At 37.6% G+C, this 25809-nt stretch overlaps 1 protein-coding gene across 4 annotated transcripts in view, besides 3 other annotated features; it reads left to right on the top strand.

Moving 5' to 3' along the window:
• Positions 1-25809, top strand: part of ANKRD46 (ankyrin repeat domain 46) — a 50008-nt gene that overhangs the window by 14999 nt on the left and 9200 nt on the right. For 2 of the 4 annotated variants that reach the window (NM_001270377.2, NM_001270378.2), the window contains exons 2-5: positions 11450-11552; positions 14901-15238; positions 16758-16916; positions 21990-23989. In NM_001270377.2, the coding sequence (NP_001257306.1) occupies positions 14928-15238; positions 16758-16916; positions 21990-22206 (687 nt within the window). In that variant the 5' untranslated portion in view covers positions 11450-11552; positions 14901-14927 and the 3' untranslated portion in view covers positions 22207-23989. Of the gene's footprint in view, positions 1-11449; positions 11553-12300; positions 12406-14900; positions 15239-16757; positions 16917-21989; positions 23990-25809 lie in introns of those variants that run through there. The other 2 variants (NM_198401.4, NM_001270379.2) reach the window with 2 other exon arrangements.
• Positions 33-233: a silencer, noted in NCBI's record as "peak7124 fragment used in MPRA reporter construct". NCBI's record gives its function as "represses an SCP1 promoter by STARR-seq MPRAs in K562 erythroleukemia cells {active_cell/tissue: K562}" and the evidence as "EXISTENCE:reporter gene assay evidence [ECO:0000049][PMID:32103011]".
• Positions 1960-2029: an enhancer, noted in NCBI's record as "active region_27713". NCBI's record gives its function as "activates an Ori minimal core promoter by ATAC-STARR-seq in GM12878 lymphoblastoid cells {active_cell/tissue: GM12878}" and the evidence as "EXISTENCE:reporter gene assay evidence [ECO:0000049][PMID:35858748]".
• Positions 2810-2859: an enhancer, noted in NCBI's record as "active region_27712". NCBI's record gives its function as "activates an Ori minimal core promoter by ATAC-STARR-seq in GM12878 lymphoblastoid cells {active_cell/tissue: GM12878}" and the evidence as "EXISTENCE:reporter gene assay evidence [ECO:0000049][PMID:35858748]".

Below are 25809 nucleotides of genomic sequence, written 5' to 3'. Positions count from 1 at the left end.
ATAGTTTTCAAAGTTCTGTACAAAAATATTGTGAAGTAGGTAAGACAGATATTATCTCAGTTTTGCAAATGAGGAAACTGGGACTCTTAGAGTTGGACTACTCAAGATAGTGCCTTAGAAAATGGCCGAGTTAGGACCTAAGATACAAACGTTTTGATTGGTGTCTAGTACTTAGTGCTTATCCTGAAAAATAATTCTTGATAAATTCACAGATCATGGATCTCTTGATTCAAGTCTGGAAGTCTGCCTTCGCTATTTATCACTTAAGATCACTTGATTGTTTTTCCTTGCTTCAGCCTTGTCTAGAGTACGAGCAAGTTGTACTTTGGGGTTAGCAGAATCCTGACACTGAGATTTGATCCAATGCTCACTTCTTTCTAGATGTTGATTATAGTCTTTTCTCCAATTGCTAGGCCCCTCCCCAACTTTAGGCTTATGTTCTTTGTCCTTGCTTCTTTATGTCCGGGTCCCATGGATGAGTAAGGTATTTTCTTTCCTGGTGGAAGTGGAAGTGATCTGCTTTGAGCCTTAGAAGGAACCAGAAGCTGACTGAAGAGAGTTAGGGATGGTTGTATGGGCAGATTTCTTGCTGCTTGGGGTAGCCAAAAGGAGGGTGAGGGAGAGATTGAGAGAATAAATGAGAAATATTTCCTAAAGTGTAAGGCAATATAAAAGGTAGTTGTAGGTCAAGATCTGGGCAGTGGAGTTAAGTTCTAAGTGTGCAAAGTCCAACTAAGTGATGGAAGTGATGTGGACATAAAGGTCTTTGACATTAAGAACTCTTGGGTTAATCTTTAAATGATTTCAATTACACTCCTGAAACCATCCAATAAAATATAATTAAAAAGAAAAATTTGGGCCAGAGAGACATGGTATGAAAGGACACTATTTGAATAAAAATATTTAGATGTATTTGGAATAGATTTATTTTGATAGTATCACTGAAGAAGACATGCAGATATATTAGTGGTAAATTTAATAGCTACCATAAACCTGAAAGTTTGCCTTTAATTTGTTTTTGTGTGTCTTTTCTTATACTTCTCTACAGTTTAAGATATAACATTTCATATTATAGTTCATTTCCCCAAATCCAAAGCTCGTCAATCCTGAGAGTGTAATTTATTTATTTAAAAACAAGAAACTTACTCTCCTATTGTTTGAAGACTGTGAAGCCATTATCTTCTGACAGCATTTTAAAGAATAATTTTTAAATCATAATTATCTTTGTTTAACACTGTAGTTCTCTTGAGTACAAGGACGAAAGTTTAGCAGTTGTTCAAACTTTTAAAAACAAGTTCTTAACAGTTTTATATTGTGTCCTGCTCCTATCTACAAGTCATTTAGAAAATTGTTTTTTGATATAAAGAAATTTACCATTTTATTCCCAGTTTCCTTAGTATTTGTTATAGAACAAATCGCAAAATATTAAATGGTTTTGAGATTGAGAATAAGAATTAAAACGAAAATAAGGTTTGTATCAACAGTTGCTAACACTGGGAATCAGTTTTAATTGACAGTGTCTAAACAAACAAAGCCTGTTTATTAAAGACATTTCCTGGAAAGCAGCAAATCTGGAAGAGCTATGTAGCTATTAAAACTTAAGATCCATAGTCTTTGACAATTCTTTCCCATGTTAGTCACAATGGGCAGGTGTCTGGTCTCTGGGCAGTTTGCAAAAATAGCTCCATGGGAAACTGATATAGGAACTTGTCATCTTCTTTTCCCGTTTCTGAAAGATTCTCCAGAATGCTCTGAGTACACACATGTAAACTGAGCTAACTCACAGATTACCATTTTAATAGGAGAGGCTGTGTGTAGAGGCCAGGGCTCAGTCAGAAAGAGAATTGCTGTAATTCGCTGTCTTATGCTTGAAATTACTCTGCTGAAGGAGTTATCAGGACTGGTGATTGAGCTCTGCTTTAGAATATCGGTGTCTTCCACTTCTTGCCCCACCCCTTCCTAATTGGCAGCATGAGGAAAGCACTAGCCAAAAGTTACAACTTCTGCCTATAATCCTTTATTTATTTCTATCCTCATGAACTAGGCTAGAAAACCTGGGGGCAGGGAATCTGTTTTTCTTTTGTGAACCTGGAGCCATTTCTAAGCATGTACTTCCTACTCTCAAAAAAGACTCCTTCCCAAAATAGGTTACCCCTAGTCCAGAGCAGGGACAGCAGGAAAAGAGCCACAGATTCCCTTTAAAGCCACAGACACTCCTCAACTCCCTTAGATATAAGACTATTTATTCCCTTTCTACCAAGGGTCTCAGCATTAAATCAACATTTCCAGTGGCGAGAGAAGAAATACATCTAATACCCCACATATGAGTCATTCTGCCGTTTCTCAGTCGTTTCATGTCTGTTCTACAAACATGCCATTTTAAAAATACAGTTTGACTAAGGCATCTCCTTAGTCTGCTGTCCAGTTGTCTTATGTTGTATATCCTTATTTATGAGGGCCCCTGGAGGTCAGAGTGAGTGAGGTAGGATGTGAGTGTAATAAGGATACGTAAAGAATTCTGAATTTTAAGGTTTTACCTAGGCCATAAATGTACAAATGGTAAATGTAGACTAGAGTGATTTGCATAGCTTCACACACAGCAGACCCCACCTTAAAGAAGTCCACTAGATCCTCCAGGGTTTTATAGTGTAGGGAGGAGGGCCCTTGTCCACCCACTGTCATTATGTATGTTTTGTGTGAAGGATGCAGTACATCCTTCTGAGAAATGCACCATTAGATTATTTCATTGTTTGTGTACAAAGTGTACTTACTACCCAAACCTAGATACAAGAGCCTACTGCACACCCAGGCCATATGGTATGGCCTGTTGTTCCTAGGCTACAACCCTATACAGCATGTTACTGTGCTGAATACTGTAGGCAGTTTTAATACTGTGGCAAATATTTGTGTATCTAAACATAGAAAAGTTATAGTAAGAATATTCTAATCTTATGGGACCACCTTCATATATGCAGTCCGTCGTTGACCAAAATGTCATTATGCAGTGTATGACTGCATTTTGTATTTCGACAGTGAATCATGAATAGGACTAGAACGTGTGGGGATGAGCGGTAGCATGTAAAGTAACAAAGTTACAGCCTTTCTGGTCTCAGTGTCCTTATTTGTAAAATAATGAGATTGAGTTAAATGATGTTGGATGGCCTTCCAGCTCTAAGAATTTTATGGAAATAGTCATGTATAGCATGGGCATGTAGTAGGCTATATCCTCTAGGCTTGTGTAGGCACCTGAGGACACTCTGTGTTGTTCACATAACAGTGAAAGCACCAGACGATGCAGTTCTCAGAACATACCCCATCATTAAGCGACACGTGACTACTACAGTTAAGCTTCTTCTAAGGATACAATCTCATACCTTCAAACTTACTTAGGGTGAAGTCTGGTTTAAATTTTGTAGACTATTTAGAAAATAAGGAATATTTTGCAAAACTCACAATTCTTATATTTTGAAACAACACAATAAATGAATAAGTTAGAATGCCATTTAAGTAGCACTTTATATAAAGTCTGCTAAGGTGGGTTTAATGAGGTTTAGATTTCTGAATAGGCCTGGAATCATATTTTTGCTATTAATTTTCTTGAAAAGTTTTTTTAAAAGGAAAATTGAACTTCATCCCAATTTTGGATTTTCACAAATTCACAGTTAGTGAGAATTATGGTAAATAACTTGAAATGGAACAGAGAAACTTCGGAGGTACAGACTTCTCACCTTATGCCATACTAGATGCTGAAGTTGAACTTGAAGCCTATGCAGGCCACAAGGTGGCACCCTTAGGCCATATAAATAAAGTGCTGTTGCAACTAGAAAAAAACAGTTTTAAAGAATCAAGTAACTTTATTATGTAATGATAGACTATAAACTGGAAACCTCCTGAGGAGGAAGTCCCTTGCTAAGAATTTTAAACATGGTAAAATTACATAGTAAAGATTTTGGAAAATACTAAGATATTAGAATGTGAAATAGAATATCCAAAATAACCAGCATTCCTTTTGTGAACAATTAATTTTGATTTGTCTTAAGCCAATACCTTTTCTAAAAGTTGAATTGTAACTAAACTTTAATAATGCAAACAAATAATAGTTAAGCAATATAAATATTGCCAGAAATATATCAGAAATCGTTGTTGGTGTTTTTTGATTTCCTGATGGAGAAAGAAAAATTTAGGTGTTTTCTTGTTATCCCAATCAGTAGGAAGTACTTGAGAATGATGAGTCTAAGAATTTAGTCACCTGTGAAGTAGAAGACTTTTCCAAAAATATTTTATTGTTATTTTCCCATACTTTAAAAACTTATTTTTATGAGATGATTAAAAACAGTTAATTTGGCTTATGTGTGCTAGAATATTTTCTGTGAAGTAAAAGACATTTCCAGGTATTGTTTCTACAGTTTAAGAAGACGTTCACTTTGAATGAAATGATTGTAAAGAGTTATATGGAATGTGTATGCTAGACTAATGTTCTCCCTTATGTTTGATGAAGACATTTGCTAAGCTAATTCATTAAACAAAAAATCTTATGAAACAAACTTAGTGACTTTTTTTTTTTTACTCATGAAATGAGTATAGTGATAGTATGCATGTACCTTGTAGGGTTTCTATGAGGATTAAATGAGTTATTATAGGAAAAACACTTAGAACTGTGCCTGCAGTATAACTTAATAAATGTAGAATACTGTGTATCTCAAATGTTGCCAAGCAATTATTTGCATAGTAATACCAGACATAACAAACAGGAAATTCTTTTTTCTCTTTTCATTAAGCTTAATTCCAGAAGAACATCTACTAAGTAATATCTGATTAACAGAGTTTTAATTATTATATGAACTTAACTCAGTGAACTGGCCTTTTTTGTTTTTTGTACAGACAGGGTCTTGCATTGTTGCCCAGGCTAGTCTCGAACTCCGGGGCTCAAGCAATCCTCCCACCTTGGCCTCCCAAAGTGCTGGGATTATAGGTATGAGCCACTGCACCTGGCTAGTGGCCTGTCTTTAAGTATTATTGTGTAATTCACATACTTCAAATTAACCTCATTTTTATGCATTAATAGTTTTAATTATGAAGTTACTAATAGCTTTGTATTGAAGACATCAAAAAGTTAAGAATTTTAGACACAGCCACATTAGACTGAAATGTTGGAAATACCACAAAATGTGTGTTTTCTACAAAGTTGGATATAAAATAAAAATGTATGTCTGTGGTAGAGCTACATCTGCCTAAAAATTGCTCCAAAAATTTGCTAAAAATTTGAACTTCTGTTATTATTGAGCCTTGGAAATAAAATTCAGAAGATTCTGCTTATAAACTCCTTCTTTCCAATGTTCTTCATAGTACTGGGATATCCTAAAAGGATAGTGTTCTTAGTTCCTCCTTTTATTTACTTCCCACAGAAAGAGAGCAACTCTTTTCCTTTTTTAAAGAATCCAAATAAATATTCACATATTTTATCTTTATTTAGGACAGATCACTAAAAGGTTAAAAATTGGGCCCTAGCCATATGATCAGTGAGAAATTACTTCCTAGGCCCTTCTAATACAATTTTCCAAAAAATAGAGAAATAAGGAACTTAAGTCCATCCTAGTTTAGGATGAACCATAAACCAGAATCTTAGAAGTTTTGCAGTGAGCAAAGAAAGCATTGCATCAAGATTGACGTCACAGTAAAACTATTCACCGGTCAGAGACTGGTTCCACAGCCATACATTAGACAGCTTTCATCTGCATCACAAAATTCTTTTTACATTTTGGTTAGCCAAAAACATCATTGAATCTATGTGATAGGAAAAATACAGGACAAATTCTTTTTTAATGTGCTAAGGAATTCAGTAAAATTATGGTACATACATAGAATACAGTCATCCCTTAGTATCCAGTTTCTTTTAACAGCATCTGACAAGAAAATTGTCTCTCTGTGGTACTCTCCTAAGAGCAGTGTGCCTTTCAGGGGAGTCAGACTATCACATATCTCTCCCCGCTACTTTTCCCACCTCTCCAAGCAGGCTTCATTATGTTTACCTAGGTTTCACATCCATTCACAGGGGCACAGACTCAGTCCTCAGTGAATCTTGAAAGATTACTGGTTCATTATTCACACTTTTTATTAGTGCCTGTAATTCTGTTTGAAGAGGGATGGGTTTCTCTTCCCTTAGTATCCTCTTCAAACCCCTGTTTGAAGAGGGATGGTTTCAGGACCTCATGCAGATACCAGAATTCACAGATGCTCAAGTCCCTGGTACAGAATGATATGGTATTTGCATATAACCTATGCACATCTTTCCATATACTTTAAATAATCTCTAGGTTACTTATAATACCTAATACAATGTAAATGCTATGGAAGTAGTTGTTACACTGTGTTGTTTAGGGAATAATGACAAGAAAGAAAGTCTGTACATACGTGTTCAGTATAGATGCAATTTTTTTCCCCAAATATTTTTGATTCATGGTTGGTTGAATCATTAATTTGATTCATGGTTGATTGTGTGCAGCTTTTAGTTTCTTTTTTTTCATATTTATTTCCTAAAAATTTTTACAATGCACTGCAGAACTAGTCATAAGAAAAAATATTACTTTAAAATCTTGTGACAATGAACTTAATCGAGTGTACATTCAGGAAAGAATTATTGGATTTCCCTATGTCTAGACTTCAAGAAACTTAATGTGCCAGGCATTGCAGTCAGCCAGTATATATAGACAAATCAGACCCATTTCTTGGCTTCTAGAAACATATTCTGGCAGGAATTTTAGGACAGTTGTGAACAAGCAACAAAGTTTTACATGAACTGTTTTCTCCTGGTTATCTTGACAACTTACAGCAGCTGCAGGGCATATTGGAAATATATAAGCTAAATATGAAGCCCCACCCTGCCACTTAAAGCAGTATGGCCCTAGACTCAATGTCTGTGGGCCTTGGGAATTAAGATCACTCTATTAGAGAAAGAGTTGCTGTTTAAATAGCTGCTGAAGATAAGCAGACTGAAGAAATATATTGTTAATGTTTTGGGAAGGATTTTAAATTGTTAAAATTCTTACTTGCTCACAGCTAAATTTCTTTTCAACATGGCATTTTTCCTTGCCCAGTATCTTTGGATTTTTGCAGAGCTCAGGTTTTAAGAACAGTAATTTTAAAGTACTAGCAGTTAGGATTTAATGACTTCATTGGAAATTTTTGTTTTATAGTTCTCTGAGATTATATTTTGAAACAGCTGTATCCTCTTAAAAGGATAAGAATAAGCAAGTGATAGAATCTAGATTTGGGGGTTTCATTTACTGTGTATCATTCATTTTTACAGTTTTAGTACTTTTCTTTGACATTAGAAAATGGCAAAGGCAATAAGATCTGACAGAATATCTTTCCAGCTATGTCGTTTTTTCCTTGCATTTTGTTGAAATGTCTGGTGCTTTGATCTCTGACCAAAATTGCTTGTGTAGGCATAATGTAGTCAGTCCATTTGAAGCAAGAATGTGGTACTTAGTCTTCCCTTTCCAAATGGCCTTTCAAAATGAAAAATCCATCTATTATGTATTCTTGTTGATATTGGATATAGAACAATTTTTAGTTATAAGTATATATATTCTCTCCATTAGTCCTTAACCATTAAGAATACTATTATATCTTAAAGTTTTACAGATTGACCTAAGATTGTGGATCCAAAATTTGAGATATAAAAGAAAATTAGGCATGACTTTTCATCAAGTCAGTGAATCACAAGCTTCCATCAAAACCTTTTTATTGTTGTTTGGGTTGAGACAATCACGCTGGTTGACATAAGAAGCTCTTGTTGCCGCGATCTAAGTGACTGCGTCATGTGAAAGGATAAATGACTCCATCTTCAAGTCTCTCAGGCAGTGCCACAGAGCACAGAGTGAGGAGTTTTAAGTGTCAGGCTACACCAGCCCTCAAAAACCTGACCCCCAAAGTTCTGCTTTTAACAATGCCAGCTAGTCTGCCTCTGAACCAGTCAGTGGACACTGTTCCTCATGGACACTGTTCCTTGGGAACCAGGGCCCTGGTCAGCAACCAGCATGCTTTCTGGGGCGTGGTTATTCCCATATTGACTGTTCTTGCACTAGACTATGTGGTTTTTCCTCTGCCAGGAACCAGTTCTTTTATTTTTCTTTCCTGGAGGTCTTTACTGCCAACTAGATGTCACCCCATTATCAGAAGCTGCTCTGTTACCAGGGGATCAGTGCTGTATGCAAGCTTTCTTCCGTATGGCTGAGGACTGTCTCCCCAGAGCTGTGTCTAGCCTGAAAAGGATAATAGCTTATTTTTGAGTGCTAAGTCATACAGCTAGTAAGTAGCTGAGCTGGGGTTCAAACCCAGGCAGTCCAGCTCCATATACATTCTGGGTGGAGTAATCAAGTTTTTTTAACAGCATCTGACAAGAAAATTGTCTCTCTATGGTACACTCCTAAGAGTAGTGCCTTTCAGGAGAGTCAGACTATCACATATCTCTCCCCGCTACTTTTCCCACCTCTCCAAGCAGGCTTCATTATGTTTACTTAGGTTTCACATCCATTCACAGGGGCACAGACTCAGTCCTCAGTGAATCTTGAAAGATTACTGGTTCATTATTCACACTTTTATTAGTGCCTGTAATTCTGTTTGAAGAATGGTTCTTATTAAACACTCCCTTTGGTAAATGCCAGTACATCCACCTGTGCCCTTGCAAATGCTTGGTCCTACAGGTTCTTCCATAAATAACCTGACACCGAGACACATGACTCCAAAGATGACCTTACATTCTTCTTGAATGGGGGAAATAGACATCTTCATGCTCAACAGTCTTTTAGTCACAATCTTCAGGTCTTCATACGACTCACTAGTTGCTCTCCTGACCATTTATCCTAGAGAAATGAAGATTTACAGTCACATACAAACAAATGTTTGTAGAAGCTTTAACAATGGCCAAAAACTGGAGACACCAGATGTCCTTCAGTAGATGAACTGTTATATTGTGGTACACCCATGCCACGGAATACTACTATGGATAAAAAAGGGACAAACTATGGATACACACAGCTACCCTGGATGAATCTCCAGAGAATTATACTGAGTGAAAAGACCAATCCCAAAAGGTTCCTGTATGTGCTGTATGGCTCCATTTATACAACATTCTTGAAATGACAGAATTAAAGAAGTGGAAGACTAGGTAGTGTTTTCTAGGTGTTAAGGAGAGACTGGCATGGGAGGGAAGCAGGAATAGCTAAAAAGGGCAACATATGAGAGATTTTTCATGGTGATGGAAATGTTCTGTATCTTGACTATATCAATGTCAGTATCCTGGTTGTGATGTTGTACTATAGTTTGGCAAGATGTTACCATTGGGGGAAACTGGATAAAGGGTGCACAGGATCACTCTGTGTTATTTCTTACAACTGCATATGAATTTATAATTATCTCAAAAAGTTTAATTTAAAAAAGTCTTTAGTCCTCTTCACCCATTGGACAATCGTTAAATATGTGCTCTGATTTGTATTCACTTTATGACTTCTTAGGGAAGCTATTAACAGAGTCTAGTGAGTAAGGTCTAACTGAGGTCTTGGAAGTTTTCTTGGCAGGTTTCTAGTAATTTAGTCTAATGAATTTGTATAATATTATTATGAAATCATACAAATCTGTAATTTGTTCAAGTGTATTTTCTTATGGGCCATTGTAATATCCAAAGAAAATGGCAGGCTGGTTGCGGTGGCTCACGCCTGTAATCCCAGCACTTTGGGAGGCCAAGGTGGGTGGATCACCTGAGGTCAGGAGTTCAAGACCTGCCTAGCCAACATGGTGAAACCTCATCTCCACTAAAAATACAAAAATTACCCAGGCATGGTGGCACATGGCTGTAGTCCCAGCTACTGGGGAGGCTGAGGCAGGATAATTGCTTGAACGCGGAGGCCTCTGCAGGTGAGTCGAGATTGCACCACTGCACTCCGGCACCAGCGACAGAGTGAGACTCTGTCTCAAAAATAAAAAAAGAAAAAATTGCAGAAGCATTGTCCTTCTTGTGGATTTAAGAGAACATTAGGATTATTTGGGGGCATGACCATATGAACTATAATTCCATCTCTAGATGAAAAACAAAATTTTTTCTTTTTCCCTAATGTGAGCTCTACCACATCCAGAATAACCCACTTGCACCATTTTAATTAACATTGAAAATTAAAGCCAAATCATACATTAGAGACAGGCTCTAGTCGTTAAAGACTCAGCTCTAGAGGTCAGGACAAGAGAGGAAAAATATTAGGCTTTGGGTGAATACATAATATTTGTTTAAGGAAATCAAGGTAAGTGGCTCCGTGATATGAAGTTCGTCTAAATTGATACTGTGGTATCACAAAAGAAGTAGGAAATGAGGAGCGTAGATGTTTTGTGTGTTATCATGTCTTCGTGATATTTACTGACCCTCGTGTGGGACTGGTCCTCAGGTACAGTTTGTCAGCTATTGTCATCAGTTCCAGCCTAGCACTGATAGCCTTTATGATACAACCTGACTTACATATTGTAAATGGAGCTTTGTAAAATACCATTAATTATTTCCCTATATAAATTTGTTCACAGGGATTTGATAACAATGAACAAGGATGATCGGTAAAAAGTTAACCTGTATTTCACCCTGACCAGGAATTTGGGATTTGGACTTGATAGCATGGTATCTGGCACATTGCAGGCACACAGTGAATGTTTGTTTCATGAACTAATATTGCTATTTTTGTGGTCCTTACTGCCTGCCCATGACCCTGCTTCCACGGTCCTTCCAGAGAAGAGCTGAGTGGGCAGACAGGGTGCCCTCGTAGTCTCTCTCAGTGCAGAGAAGTGCAGCCTGGGTGGGGGAGCAGCGTCAGGCTATGTAAAGAAGACTACAGATAGACTTGGGCCAGCTTTTATTTCACACTGAAAAGACAAGGAAGGGAACAGATTTAAAGAGATTTAAGTACCAGCATTCAAGGTAGATTAGAAATACTTTTTCTTAAATGTATCCTGTTTGGTTTAAATATAAGTATTGGCTTTTTAAACTTATTTTTTCCCACTATGAATAGTATTTTATTTATAAAAATGCTTTTGTGGACTAATCTGGGATCTAGCCTCCATTTATAATGTGAAAAATATGCATTCTGAATTCCAAGTAATGACTGAGAGTGAATTTTCGGAGCCCAATTTGTTCTTTAGTGATGGCACATAATTTGATTCTTATTCTTTTATCTTTCTGTCTTGCTTTCTTGTTTGTGGGCCACAGAGCAGCTTCTATTAAGCCCTTCTTTGCTTCCTTTTCACTACTTTGTTACTCGTCAGATATTTTTCTGGCCTCACAAGTTGATGCCTCACCTACAGATTTTCTAGAGAATTTCTTCAGGCTCAGTAACCTGTCTGTATTTAATAGAACAGTGAGTTCTTTTTCTCACCACACTTCTATTATAACTTAATTTTCTATTTACTGTAGATCCTTGCCAGCACATTACAGAATATTTTTGTTGAACCTTCTTGAGAATTCAGAGAAACTGCTGAGTGACCACTGAACGAAAAGATCTAATCTTAAGGCTTACGTGAGTATTTACTACTGTGGACTTCCTCACAAGATGTGAAACCTTCAGTGAACTGCTTTAGGACAGATTCAGTTCTGTGATCAAGATGAAAAATAACTATCATTGGGCTTATTAAATGTGGGATTAAGTTTAGTAGTTGCTCAGGGACACAGAGAAACTGACAAAATACACACTTGTTCTCACCTGAAAAATAGACACAGAGACTTGTATTTCTTGCTGAGCCAACACTCAGAAGTATCCTAGTCTGCAAACCACAAGAATTCTTACTGTGTCTGAATCAAAAACACCAACTAGATTTTTTAAATTATCTATTTTTAAAAATTTAACCAAAACACATTACCTTTTGAAAAGCACTTGATATGTGGCATTTCATTTTGAAAAAGGTTTATGATAGCTTTTCCATTTTTATGATTCAATACTGTGCAAGCTTGTCCAACCTGCAGCCCAGAACAGCTTTGAATGTAGCCCAACACAAATTCATAAACTTTTAAAAAACATTCTGAGATTTTTTTTGCAATTTTTTAAAGCTTATCAGCTATCATTATGTATTTTATGTGTAGCCCAAGACAATTCTTCTTCCATTGTGACCCAGGGAAGCCGAAATGTTGGACACCCTTGCTGTAAGGGAAAATATTTAGATTACCCTCGCAAAAGAATTCTTGACTATTTTATTGAGTAAATTCTTCTCATTGAGTTTTTCTGTTTGTTGGTTTGGTTTGGTTTGGTTTGGTTTGTTTTTTTGAGACAGGCCTCACTTTGATGCCCAGGCTGGAGTGCTGTGGCTCAATCACAGCTCATCGCAACCTCGACCTCCCGGGCTCAAGTGATCCTCTCACCTCAGCGTCCCGAACAGGTGGGACGAAAGGCGCGCGCCACCATGCCTGGCTAATTTTAAAATATTTTATAGAGACAGGGTCTCTCGCTATGTTGCCCAGGCTAGTTTCGAACTCCTGGGCTTCAAGCTATCCTCCCATTTTGGCCTTCCAAAGTACTGGGATTACAGGTGTGAGCCACTGTGTCCAGCCAGATTTTTAAAAAGTCATCATATGTATCATAATCTGAAGTTTATTTTGATTTTAATCTCTGTAGTTTTTAATCATAAACTTTTTTTCGTATTTGAAATTATTCTTAACAGCCCCTTTTCACCCTTCATTTCATATCCAGTGAGTCATTAAGTTGTGCTAATTCTGTCTTCTCTGTTCCTCTCCAGTGCGTCCCCTTCTGCCTGCCACTGCCTTAGGTCAGGTTTTCATTTCTTGCCTAGATAGCTGCAATGACCTAATGATTGATCTCCCTGCCTCCAGTCTTTGTCTCTACAATCCAGTGCCTCCATATTGCCATCCAAGTCATCTTTCTGAAAGACTAATAAGACTGTGCCATTTCTTTGACTTAAAATTCTTCAGTGGGCTGGACTCATTGAAATAGTAGTCCCAGCTATTTAGGAGGCTGATGTGGGAGGATTGCTTGAACCCAGGAGTTTGAGGCTGCAGTGAGCCATGATTGTACCACCGCACTCCAGCCTGGGTGACAGAGCAAGAACCTGTCTCAATTTAAAACAAAAAAAATCCTTCAGTGGCTCCTCACTGAAATTCAGGTATAAAAAAGCCTAACTGTGGAGTTGTTAGGAAGATTAAATTAAATTCATTAAAAGCTCCTAGTTGGTACCTGGCTCAGAACAAGTCTCAGTGTATGTTAATGCCCACTCTTTCCACAGAGAGCCCATGGTAGCAGCAGAGCCCTTGTGTAAGGCAGCCCCAGATTTTGGGACAATGGCTCTGCTGAGAAGCCAAGTTGAAAGGAATAGGGGCAGCAATCTCACCAAACTCAGCAGCCAGGCTTCCCTGAATCCCCTTGAGGTTAGGCACAAGAATAGATGGGTCTAGCGTCCAGTTCCATCAGTGTTTCAGAAAGAGACTTTACCTGATCAGCTGTATAAGCCAAGTCCATATGTGACTAAGCTTTTGTAACCTAAGAATAAAAAAGCCATCTCTAGAAAAGCATTGGTCTCTGCCTTTCTGTTTTCTTGTTTGTTTTCTCGTCAATTTCCTAGCGAAGTTTCTTTTGACAGGCTTTAACTCTTTCTTAAATGAACCTAGGGGAAGAGAGAGAGACCTAGTTGTATGCAGTTTGGTAGAGCAAAATGTCCTGAGAGTTCAGGTGCACCAGGCAGATGCTGAACTCTCACCTGAGTTCAGGTGCGCCAGTGGGGCCAGGAAACATCTGTGAAAGAGATGTGGGCAAACTGGTGAGCTGGATGAGTCCAAGAGATGAAATTCACATCAGACCTAGTTGGGATTGCTGCTTTGTCCTGACTTGGTATTCCCAGACAGCCCTACTTTTTTTTCCCCTCATCTCTCAGTCTTTGGACGGTGGGAATTTGGCACAGTCACATATTGAGATAACCACAGAGCACAGCAGAATAAGATCAATAGTGGAAAAAGCATAATCTGAATTGATTTCATGCTCTGATTTTTAAATTCAGTTTGTTACATTCCTTAGCCTTTCTCTTAAAATTTGTGCTATAGGCCAGGCGCGGTGGCTCACGCCTGTAGTCCCAGCACTTTTTGCAAGGCCAAGGCAGGCGGATCATGAGGTCAGGAGTTCAAGACCAGCCTGGCCAACATGGTGAAACCCCGTCTCTACTAAAAATACAAAAAATTAGCTGAGCATGGTGGCAGACACCTGTAATTCCAGCTACTTGGGAGGCTGAGGCAGGAGAATCGCTTGAACTCGGGAGATGGAGGTTGCAGTGAGCCAAGACCGCGCCACTGCACTCCAGCCTGGGCAATAGAGCGAGACACCATCTCAAAAAAAAAAAATTGTGCTATAAACATAACACTCTACAGGTCTTTGTTGAGTATAAGTTCTTTTCATGCAAGTAGTTTTAGTTACCATGTAGAATATCTCAAATACAAGAAGAAGCAAATATATCAAAGAGAATTAGTTTGTATTAAATAAGAATGTCTACCAGCAGTAGCATTTATATATGGGTAGTTCTTTGATGTTTAAACACCATGTTATCTATGTGTTCTGACAATGTAATACTTAAATCTAAGCTATTATGTCTTGCTTAACTTTAAAAATATCTCTTAATCTTTTTACATGGTGAAAAGCAAAATAGAGCTTTACAGTAATTGAATTGGAATTTTAATCCAGCAGATGTGAAGAAAATAAAATGTTTTAATGGAAAATAAAATACAATTGATAACTTTGTTGTTGTTTCTGTTTGGTCATTTATTTATTAGAGGCAGGAGGCCAAAAAGGATGAGAAATATTGCTTTTCTAAATGACTCCTTTGTCTTGATTTCATTTGTCTTCATGGAATCTCACTCACCTATTTCATTACAGGCGTGTTCCATCCACCACATCAGAACAATGTCGTATGTTTTTGTAAATGATTCTTCTCAGACTAACGTGCCCTTGCTGCAAGCCTGTATTGATGGGGACTTTAATTATTCCAAGCGGCTTTTGGAAAGTGGCTTTGACCCAAATATTCGTGACAGCAGGGGCAGAACAGGCCTTCACCTTGCAGCAGCTCGAGGGAATGTAGACATCTGCCAGTTACTGCATAAATTCGGTGCCGATCTTCTGGCCACAGATTATCAAGGAAACACAGCTCTTCACCTCTGTGGCCATGTGGATACTATCCAATTTTTGGTTTCCAATGGACTCAAAATTGATATTTGGTAAGTTCTCTGTTGTTTTAGAAGTCTAGTCATTTCTTCCCATTAATCTCTCAACTGATAATCTTATCTTGGGTCTGTTGGTTTTGTTTCCTCATTAATCAGTTGAAATAAGTTCAGAAAGCATTGAAGACAGTGTAATCCTGTTAGGCAAGTGAGGGAATGAGGGGCTGACTTCTAGATTTTTGCTAAAGCAGCATATTTTTTTCTATGAAAATAGTAGGTAGTTTCTGCTACTAATTATGTAGTGTTACAACAAGGGAAGAAGAAGAAAAGAACATTTGTTGAAAATCTATGAGCTAGACTGTGTTTACTTGTTAGCTCATTTAGTCCTCAGAATGAAGAGCTCTCACAATAGGTGTTTTCATTTTACAGATTAGATAGTGAAGACAAAAAAGGATTGGACAAAGTTCACACAGTTTATAGAGGATTTGAAAAGGTCACAGCTTATAAGGGACAGAGCTGGAATTTGAACCTAGTTCCGCTGACTCTAACGCTTGTGTGCCTTCTGTCATGTAACGCACCATGTGAGCTTCATAATCTCCCGGGAGTCCAGGATCCTTTTTAGACTGAACAATTTGAGGAAGTCATGGGGCTTTTTGTTTGTTTTAGTGATACTCTGCTTTTTGAGTGGGAACGATGTCAAGTCACCTGTAAAACTGAGCTTGACCTTTAAATTACAGTTACACACTGCCCTAATTTATTGATGCCATAATGCCCCTAAATCTGAATAAGACAGTAAATGCTTTTGTTTCTGCAGGACAAAATGGGGTAGGAATTGACTGCAGGATTTAATGTGATTGGGGTTCTAACCTATTATTAGCGCTAAATAGCTGCGTGAACCGAAGCAGCTTATTTGACATTTTTTTCTTAGACTTTTTTAAAAAAAGTACTTGTCTCATAAAATGTAAATATCAAATAAGAATGAATCTAGAACTAGATTTATCCACTTTTTTGACTATATGTTCTCTTTTTTCTTTTCCCTGGAAGTAAAAAAAAAAAAAAAAAGAAAAACAAGGGTTAATTCAAAATTCAGCTACACTGGATGTTTGGCTCAGCTCTGGGTTTTACTTTTGAGTTAAACTGGACCCATCCTTTTTTTCCCCTTGGTGATTTGTTCTTCATAAACACTTTCTATAGTACAATTCAGAAAAAAATAGAGGCACACGGCTATTACTTCTACCATAATCTGCTGTTGAGGAGACATTCAGTGTGAGGATGGGGTCTGGAGGTGGGGGACGTGTTTGGTTAACAGGATAACGGCCTCTGTGATGAACTGTGCAAAAATCCCATCAGTCAACATCTGATTGCAGCCAGATGGTCAAGGCTCATGGTGGAAGAGTTGTAGTGAGCCAAATACTCCTTTAGTTCCCCACAGCCCTAGGGTAGGCCCTAATTGGGCCCATTCTTTCTTCACTGAGATCTATATAAGTGGGTACTAAAAATGGAACTGACAATGTAGTATAACTGCTATGATGGCTTCTTTATTTTTATAAACTTTTTTTTTTTTTTTTTTTTTTAGCAATCATCAAGGTGCTACCCCTTTAGTTCTGGCAAAGCGCAGAGGAGTAAATAAAGATGTCATCCGATTGCTGGAATCTTTGGAAGAACAGGAGGTGAAAGGATTTAACAGAGGAACCCACTCGAAACTGGAGACCATGCAAACAGCTGAGAGTGAAAGGTACTGGAGATACAACTTTTTTTTTCTCACTGTATTACTCATTCCTTGAACTCCTGGGCTCAAGCATTCTTCCTGCCTCAGCCTCCTGACTAGCTGGGACTATAGGCACATGTAGCCACACCCAGCAAGATAATACGATTTTTTAAGGGGAAAGTCACTTTAAGTATGTGGATTTATGGTTAACTTTGTGAACTTTAATATTCATTTGCTTTTAAGTGCAACTTGAACTTTATATAGGACCTTATGACTGCAGATTACAATTGAGAAGCTATTAACAGAAAGTACTACATGTCATGTGCGCATAATGTTCTGTTAGCCACCTGCTGTATTGACAGTACAAAGGAGAAATAGTAACAAATGAATCTGAGGGGAGGAAGCCGGAGCTTGATGATTTTAAGTACAGGTCACAAAAAGAATGGAATTTCAAAAAAAAGAGAAGTATAAGTAAAGCCAAGAACTTGGGCAATTTTAGAAAAGACTGAAAGGTAGTTTCAAGGGTAGGGAAGTGGAATGCTGAGAAACAAGAAAACAAGAGAGGGAAAGCAAGATAGTATTTAACACATGCACAGTTCAGTAATGTGAAAGTGAAAGTGACTTTCATATGAGTTGGAGCTAATGAAATTTGGATTCCTGTGAGTAATCGAAGCTAAGATGTGGTAACTGACAGGGTCTTGAATAGCTCATCATTTCTCATCTAGAAGCAATGGAGAATGCAGTTCAGAGAGCTCCAAAAAGGTGGCGCACCATCTTTTCTCCTGATGTCACTGGGCTCAACAGGTAAAGTTAATAGGCCAGACTTAGTTCTAGTAGCATATTATCTGGTTGACCACCATGCAGTTTCAGCCTTCCACATTATACGTGTGAAGGAAAAAGGATGCTGAGCTTCCATAGCCTCTTCCCAGTATTCTCGGTAGGTTGTAAATAGAATAAGCAAGGGCCCACATCAGCTGTTTACCTAGTAGCTGATGGACTAGGACTTGGATTTAGAATCACATAATCCACTTAGACCATTGGGATCATTGTTTCTGTGAGTTCTAAATGAAATCCTCTCTGTTTTTCATAGCTTACCCTTCATTTGATTCCTTTGTACCCATTTTTGCTTTCCTCCTCTCGTGTGCCAGATGATGTGCTCTTTGGGGACCATTAATTCCACTCTCAAGCTTAGGTCTATTTTGTTCAGATACTTTCAAGCACTTTAATACAGTCCTAAAGAAATCCAAGAGCTTTACTTCTGGAACAGTGCATACTCCTCTTGAGTGATCACTGAAAGCTGACAAATAGATAATCAAGAAGTCAGAGATGTATTTGCAAGCCCTTGTTTTTCTCTCCTCTGTACTTTGGATTGACAGAATGGCATAAGCACTTTAACAATATTGAGTTAACTATTATTTGTTAAAGATTTTTTCCTCTAAGATAACTTGAAATTTATTTTTATCTTTTTATGAAATAACATTAAGTACTTTAAGCTTCTTTACCATGAAAAACAACCAAGAATGTGTTCTTGTTTGGTATATTTTTAGGATCTTTATTTTGTTAATAGCCAGTTTCTTGGCACCCTTTTATTAGAAATATACTTTTAGCATTAGTTTGCCTCAGTTGTGATTACTTACTAAGAAGTGATAAGTACAAAATAATATTCCATTGGATGAGCAGTGGAAGTACTCCTGCTTCCTTCACATACCTGCCATTTCACTGCAGCATGAGAGTTTGTATTAATTGTAACACTGTATAAAGCTCGTTTTTCAAAAATTGAGTTATTAACACTTTTATTACCTAGTTTTCCTATCTTACTCCTACCCCTCAGTGTCATGGTAGAAATTCAGTGGTTGAAGCTTAAATCAGAAAGTTGAAAGGTAATGTCATTAGGAAAATGCAAATGAGGACCATAGTGAAATGCCACTTCACACCCACTAGGATAGCTGCAATTAAAAAGATAGATAATAACAAGTGCTCTGGAGGATGTGGAGAAATTGGAACCCTCATACACTGCTGATGGGAATGGAAAGTAGAGCAGCTTCTTTGGAAAAGTCTGGCAGTCCTTCAAAAAGCTACACGTAGAGTTACCATCTGACCAGCAGTGCCACTTCTAGGAATATACCAAAGAAAATTGAAACATATGTCCACACAAAACTTATATATGAATGTTCATAGCAGCATTATTCATAATAGCCAAAACATTGATACCACCCAGATATCCATCAGCTGATGAAGGAATAAACATCATCTGTTCATCCAATGGAATATTACTAATATTATTATATTATACTGATACATGCTACAGCATGGATAAATTTTGAAAACATGCTACATTGGAGAAGCCAGGCACAAAAGGCCACATATTACATGATTCTGTTTATGTGAAATGTCCAGAATAAGCAAATCCATAGAGACAGAAAGTAGATGAGAAAGTAGACTAGAAGCTGGGAGAAGGGGCAATGGGAGTGACTGCTAATAGGTACAGAGTTTCTTATAGAGGTGCTGAAAGTGTACTGGAATTAGAAGAGATGGTTGTACAATTTGGGGAATATATGAAAAGCCACTGAATTGTACAGTTTCAAAAGGTAAATATTATGGGATGTGAATTATGTCTCAATAAATGTAGATGAAAAAGTTTAAAGAGATTGGCTAGCACATGGCATTATGGCATAATTGTGTAATGGCTTTTTCTAGAGCAGAAGATAAAGCAGGGTTTTAAATGTATTTACTATAATATTTTCCATTTCTCTTAGGATTCCCCCAAGACAGCACAACTTCTGCAGGCCTTATAAGGGACTATAAATCAAGTTAATGAAAAATATTTCCCCACTCCTCCATATAACTCTAAGTTTAATTCCTTTTTACTTTGTAGGTATGGGATAACAAAAACAGTATAGCTATCACATTTTTTAAAAAAGATACATGCAAACACACCCCCCAAAGACAGTGTAGATATCACGTTTTTAAAAAAAGATTATACACACACCCCATTATGTTAGAATCAGATATTCCCTGGACAGTAGAAAGCATTTCATTGGATAAAGTCTTTATAGAATATCCCGATTGGCAGAGCTTCATGAGCTCTGAAGAACAATGAGAATGCTCATGGAATTTTCATTTTATACCTAACATGTATAAGGGCATGTCAACTCGTAATCAATAAATTTTACATAGGTCAAACTAAGCCTCTGCAGAACTGTGTTATCTATTTGTGGTTTTACTCTTTTAGGCCTTCTCAAAGTTCTAATCTTATTTTTAAACTTGCTGTCAAGTGTTCCAAAATTACTGTGGTGTTGTAGATTCCCACTGAAAACATCATCTCTTATTCAGAGAATAAACATGTTTTAATTATTAAAAAAAAAAAAGTTTGGGTGTTAAGCAGACTGGCCCATTAGGAAGTCAGTTTCCCATGATCAGAGAAGACCTCTAATGTTGGTAAAGGCTGAAGGACTTTTGTTTGATGGTATCAAGAAGTAAAATAAAGTTGTAGGTTAAAAAATGTCAGTTTTGCATGTTTATTCATAGTTCATAATGAATGAGACTCTAAGATACTGTTTTATGGGAGTTAGGAAGGATAGTAATGAACTTTGATAACCAGTAGATAGTTGATTCCTATGATCATGGTTATGGTGGCTTTAATCTAAATGATACCCTCTTATTGGGCCTGTATGTTGTGATATAACCATGAGTGCTCTTCCCTTAGTGCTTCCAAGTACCAAAGTCAGATGCAGTTTCTCTTTGTGGTAGTCGTATTTCTCATTGATAAAGTTCTGAAAACCAGAATCAGTGTTTTTATGGTATTTGCACTACCTTATTTTCAACTAGACTAGCCTTTATGCAGAAGAGAAATGAACATATTCTGTCTTACTGTACAAGATAGAACTAACACCAATAGGAAGAAACTATTAAGAATTCCTAATGACTAGGCCAGCTGTGGTGGCTCATGCCTGTAATCCCAGCACTTTGGGAGGTCAAGGCAGGTGGATCACCTAAACTCAGGAGTTCAAGACCAGCCTGGGCAACATGGCGAAACCCTGTCTCTACCAAAAATACAAAAATTAGCCAGCCATGGTGGCATGCACCTGTAGTCCCAGCTACCTGGGGGGCTGAGGCAGGAGGATTGCTTGAGCTGGGGAGGTGGAGGTTTCAGTGAGCTGAGATCGCATCACTGTATTCCAGCCTGGGCGGCAGAGTGAGATTCTGTCTCCAAAAAAAAAAAAGAATTTCTGATGACTAGACGAGTCCACATGTACAACAGGCTGAGGAGTAACCTTCCATTATTAGAGAATTACAATTAAAGAAGGAATTCCTTCATTGGTCAGATTATTGAACTAAATTAATAAAAATTCCCTTTTAACTTCAAGATTCACACACACTGTATAAGTGACTTTTTAGATTTACTCATCTTCCCCCCTCCCCCCAACAGACATTTACTTTCTCAGTTCTAGGGCCTAGAAGTCTGAGATCAAGGTGTCACAAAGTTGGTTTCTTCTAAGGCCTCTCTGCTTGACTTGTAGATGACTGTCCTCTTCAGGTGTCATCACCTGCATGTCTGCTTATTCGTATTAACACATTCTTAAATTATGAGTCTGCACTTTGAATCTTCTAAATTTAACATAACAAGAATGTGTTGTGGTTTAATATCTTGATGGAGACAACTCATAACCTATTTCAAGACTTCTGCTCAGGACACCTTAAAAAAAAATAGAGATGGTGTCTCGCTATGTTACCCAGGCTGGTCCCGAACTCCTGGGCTCAAGTGATCCTCCCTCCTTGGCCTGCAAAAGTGTCGGGATTACAGGCATGAGCTACCACGCCCAGCCAGGACCTTTTAAATAGAATTTTTAACTTGAGTTTACTAAATTCTAAACCAAGAGAAACATACTCATTACCATTTAGCAATTTACAGTTTAGTATATATTGTTCAGATACGTAAGCATGTAAGAGTGTGTATATATATATATGTGTGTGTGTGTGTGTGTGTGTGTGTGTGTGTGTGTGTGTATTTGGTCTTTTCTAAATAGTAGCCCTGTGGTTTTATGTTTTTGGAATTGCTGTGTTTTTTTAATGCCCTTTTTGCTCTTTCTTCTTCCACAGTGCCATGGAAAGCCATTCACTCCTCAATCCCAACCTGCAGCAAGGTGAAGGAGTCCTCTCCAGCTTCCGAACCACGTGGCAGGAGTTTGTGGAGGATCTGGGCTTCTGGAGAGTATTGCTGTTGATCTTCGTCATTGCTTTGCTGTCTCTTGGCATTGCTTATTATGTGAGTGGGGTGCTACCCTTCGTGGAAAACCAGCCTGAACTGGTGCATTAAAGGAGCTCATGGAAGATGAGGCAATTAATTGCCTGTTTCCTGGCTTCCAATGTTTGTTCTCAGTTTCTCAGAATTTTTCTTAGCGCAAAGCAGTGAGGGCAGTACATGTTCTTTTTGCATTTTTAATTATTGTAATCCTTTTAGATAATGATGTGTTCATTTGAACTAACTACATACTATGATCAAGTATATTGCATCCTAACGCTACCTCTGACTCAACCTGACTTTGTAGGAAAGCCTACACGTAGCCTTGTTTGATAAAAACACGGAAGTGACTAGAGAATGGAAGATAAAGGAAGAAGCTAGGAAGTCCTTGCTATCAAAACCTTATCCTAATATAGGACCAATTGAAGTATTCAAAAAGAAAAACAGTATCTTATATGATTAGTTTTTGTTGGTGGTTTTGTTTTCATTTATTTTTGCAAGAGCCACTTTTTATTTACTTTCTCTAGGGATAAGAGATAAAACTTGAAGTACTTTTTTCAAATCTTGTGTGCAAATTAGTATTGTTAGCATCTATTTGGCTTATTTTAGTATTTTTAAGTCTAGTCACAAACCAAACAAAACTTTTGAAAATGAGCTATATTTTGTTCAAAGATAATTGATTTGATCTTATATTTATTTGTTTTTAGGATAATTTTTGATCTTTTTGTAAACTGCTTTGCTTGTTAATATCTGTGAAAAATAAATGAGTTCATTTTGTTCACTTTCCAATTTTCCCGAGTATCCTAGTCATCAAAGATAACAGTTCATCAGAATTACAGTCAGAAAATCCTTTTTCTACTGAATAGTTAGCAGGGAAAAATAATTCTGATATTTAACTGTCATAATTCTGTAGTGCTATTATAGTGAAAAACTCAGTTCTATAAGCTAGCTGTGTTGTCACAGTTTTATCATAGTTCATAATTATTTCATGTGCAATCCTATTTGGAGGCCCTGTTAGACTTTTAACAATCCCATCCATATCTGTAATTCTCTGATGGCAAGAATGGATGGAGCATTTCTGAGTTAACAGTGCTGGACAGTATCGTACTGGGTGTCATAAACTCTTTATGAATGGTAATATTATGTAAATTGAAATCTGGCCCTCAAACTATATTGCAGCTTTCAGCAGTATGTTTGAAGGCCTCTTTTGTTAATGATTCTGTAATGTATGAATTATGTTCTTGAGTGGTTAAAAAAGAATATGAAGGCTTGATAATTATTTATTGGGTAAAGTCAGGAAATTGTAGTGAAAGAACTAATGGTTTTGTTTTTTGGAATAAAGGCACCTAAGCTATTGCTAATTGAATTGCTGCTAGAATTAGAAATTATGCTTTAGAATAGAATTGGTATTTCTGTGATTCTTTTTGCTTCTTGGTATTTTCTCTTGTATCTATGTATCTAGTATTGAGGCTTGCTCTTTCATGTGGCTTTATCCTCTCTTTAATAGCTGTTGTAAAATTCCTGAGTAACTGGCTGCTTCAGGATCAGCTTGCAGAGTCTTGCTTTTAGGTTAGATACAAACAAAGTAAATCATAGTTGGTGTAAATCCAGCAAAAAACAGCTGGCTTTGGAATGGAGAACACTACAATTCAAATTTGAAGTATATTCAGAAGAAAACTTTGGAATTAGCTTTACATTTGTTTGTAAATCTAAACAAATATGCAAAATTGGTCAAAATGTAAGTATATAGCATTTTTAAAGATTAATGGTTCCTTTTATGTGCTGATTTCTTTGTATTCTGTTCTCTGCATTCATCATTCAGGAATACCACCAATAAATGTATTTATATATCCCTTAATCACGATTTCTCTTTTTTTTTTTTTTTTTTAGTGTATTATAGTTTTAATTTGGGGATTTTGTAATGGATTGCAATTAGCTGCTTTTTAAAACACAGCTTTTTTTCAAACCTAATGTATTAGGTATATTGAGTTTCATATATGTTTGCCTTATAAATACTGTGAAATTAATTTGAGTGAATTGCTCGTAGATTTAAGGGTGATGATCATAACTACCACAATTAAGCCCCTCCCAATTATGCAAGTTTTTAGCATGCAAGTTTTACCCTACGCCCCCTTGAGCACTACATGACCCCAGTTTATAAGATGAGAAAATGGACACAGGGATGGCTAAGTAACTTGTCCAAGGTCAAACAGGTAGGACCTGGTGGAAGAGGGATTCCAGATTGAGGCTCCAGCCCCAATTATGCTTGTGCTTTCCTCCTGTCCCGCTGTCTTTCATGAATCTGGAAATGGAACCATATTTATCCAGAACCTCGCCTGATACCATTTCAGCAGGACATTACTAAATTTTCCACTCGTGGTCCTATATACTTACTTTTTTTCCTTTCTTACACATCTTCCCAGTGGTAGAAGCTTTAATATTCAAGCTCCAACCCTGGCTTGTCAGAAAGTCTTCCATAGTTAACCGTACTTGACTGCCTCCTTCCCAACCCCTCCTTTCCCCACCACTTACCACACTCAGTTTTATTACTTGTATTTTGCATTCCTTGATCCGTTTCTCTGTAAACATGATTTTCTTTCTAACTTGTTTAATTGTAAGCTTCATGAGAGCAGGGACTTAGTCTATTTTTATAACCCCATCTGTCTACAGAGCATCCTGTAGAGCTCTTGGTACACAAATACTTATAGCATTGCTTTTATACCTGTAGCTATATTTTTTCTTTTCAGGTTGAATAGCTCTTTGCCTTTTATGCATCCCCCGCAACAAGCTGCAGGTGTGAGCTGTGCTTGGTCCTCCTTCCACAGTGCGCCTGTAGCTTCATGAACGAACTATACAGGCTGGCAGTGTGGAGCCCCCTCACCTGTGGAGCATGCAGGCTTCCGATCAGCAGCACCTGCCACAGGTTTACCACTTCGTGTAGAAGCCCAGGAACAATATTCACCTGCCACTGCTGCTGTTTTGGTTTCTATGTTTTTATTTCAAAACCAGGCCTCAGTCTTTGACTTGTGAAATTGTTTATGCATGTATCAAAGTGCTTTCAGCTGCAGGAACCAAAATCCGAATTCAAAACGGCTTACCCCATAGGAAATGTATTTGTTTATGTAACTGAAAGTCCAGTTACATAAAGCCCGTTTACATAAAAAGGTAGGGTTGACCCCAAGGGTGACATCATCCAGAATCTTTAGCCCAGTTCCCTTGTGCTCTTGCCCTGCCCTCCTTGTTGGCTGCTTCCTCCAGCTGGTTCTGCAATGAGTACAGAATTTTTAGACATCACATCCATTTATCACCACATAGAGAAGAGACCGTCTTTCCTGTGACTCCCTCGTAGGAAACTTTGATGCAAACAAGCTGTTTCATTGGCTGACATGATATCATGTACCCCATTCTCAAACCAACCAGTACCCTTACACAGGTTGACTTAGGCCTGGATTGATGAACCAGTCATTGGCAGGGGTGGGGTTGGTAGAATTCATATGTTGAGCTTGGACTAATGGTTTTAGAAGTGATTAGGGCCACTCCTGGCAATCAGTGGGCAGGGACCATAGTTGTTTTACATCCCACAGTGCATGGGACAGTTTAGTCTAACAAAGGATTGTTCTAAATCCCACATGATTCTTGAATGTTCTGCTGGACATTCGTGTGTTTAGAAAACAAACA

The sequence above is a fragment of the Homo sapiens genome, chromosome 8 (genome assembly GCF_000001405.40).
Source record: "Homo sapiens chromosome 8, GRCh38.p14 Primary Assembly".
Lineage (NCBI taxonomy): Eukaryota > Metazoa > Chordata > Mammalia > Primates > Hominidae > Homo > Homo sapiens.
The sequence above is the reverse complement of the archived record's forward strand: the minus strand, read 5'-3'. Positions and strand labels throughout refer to the sequence as shown.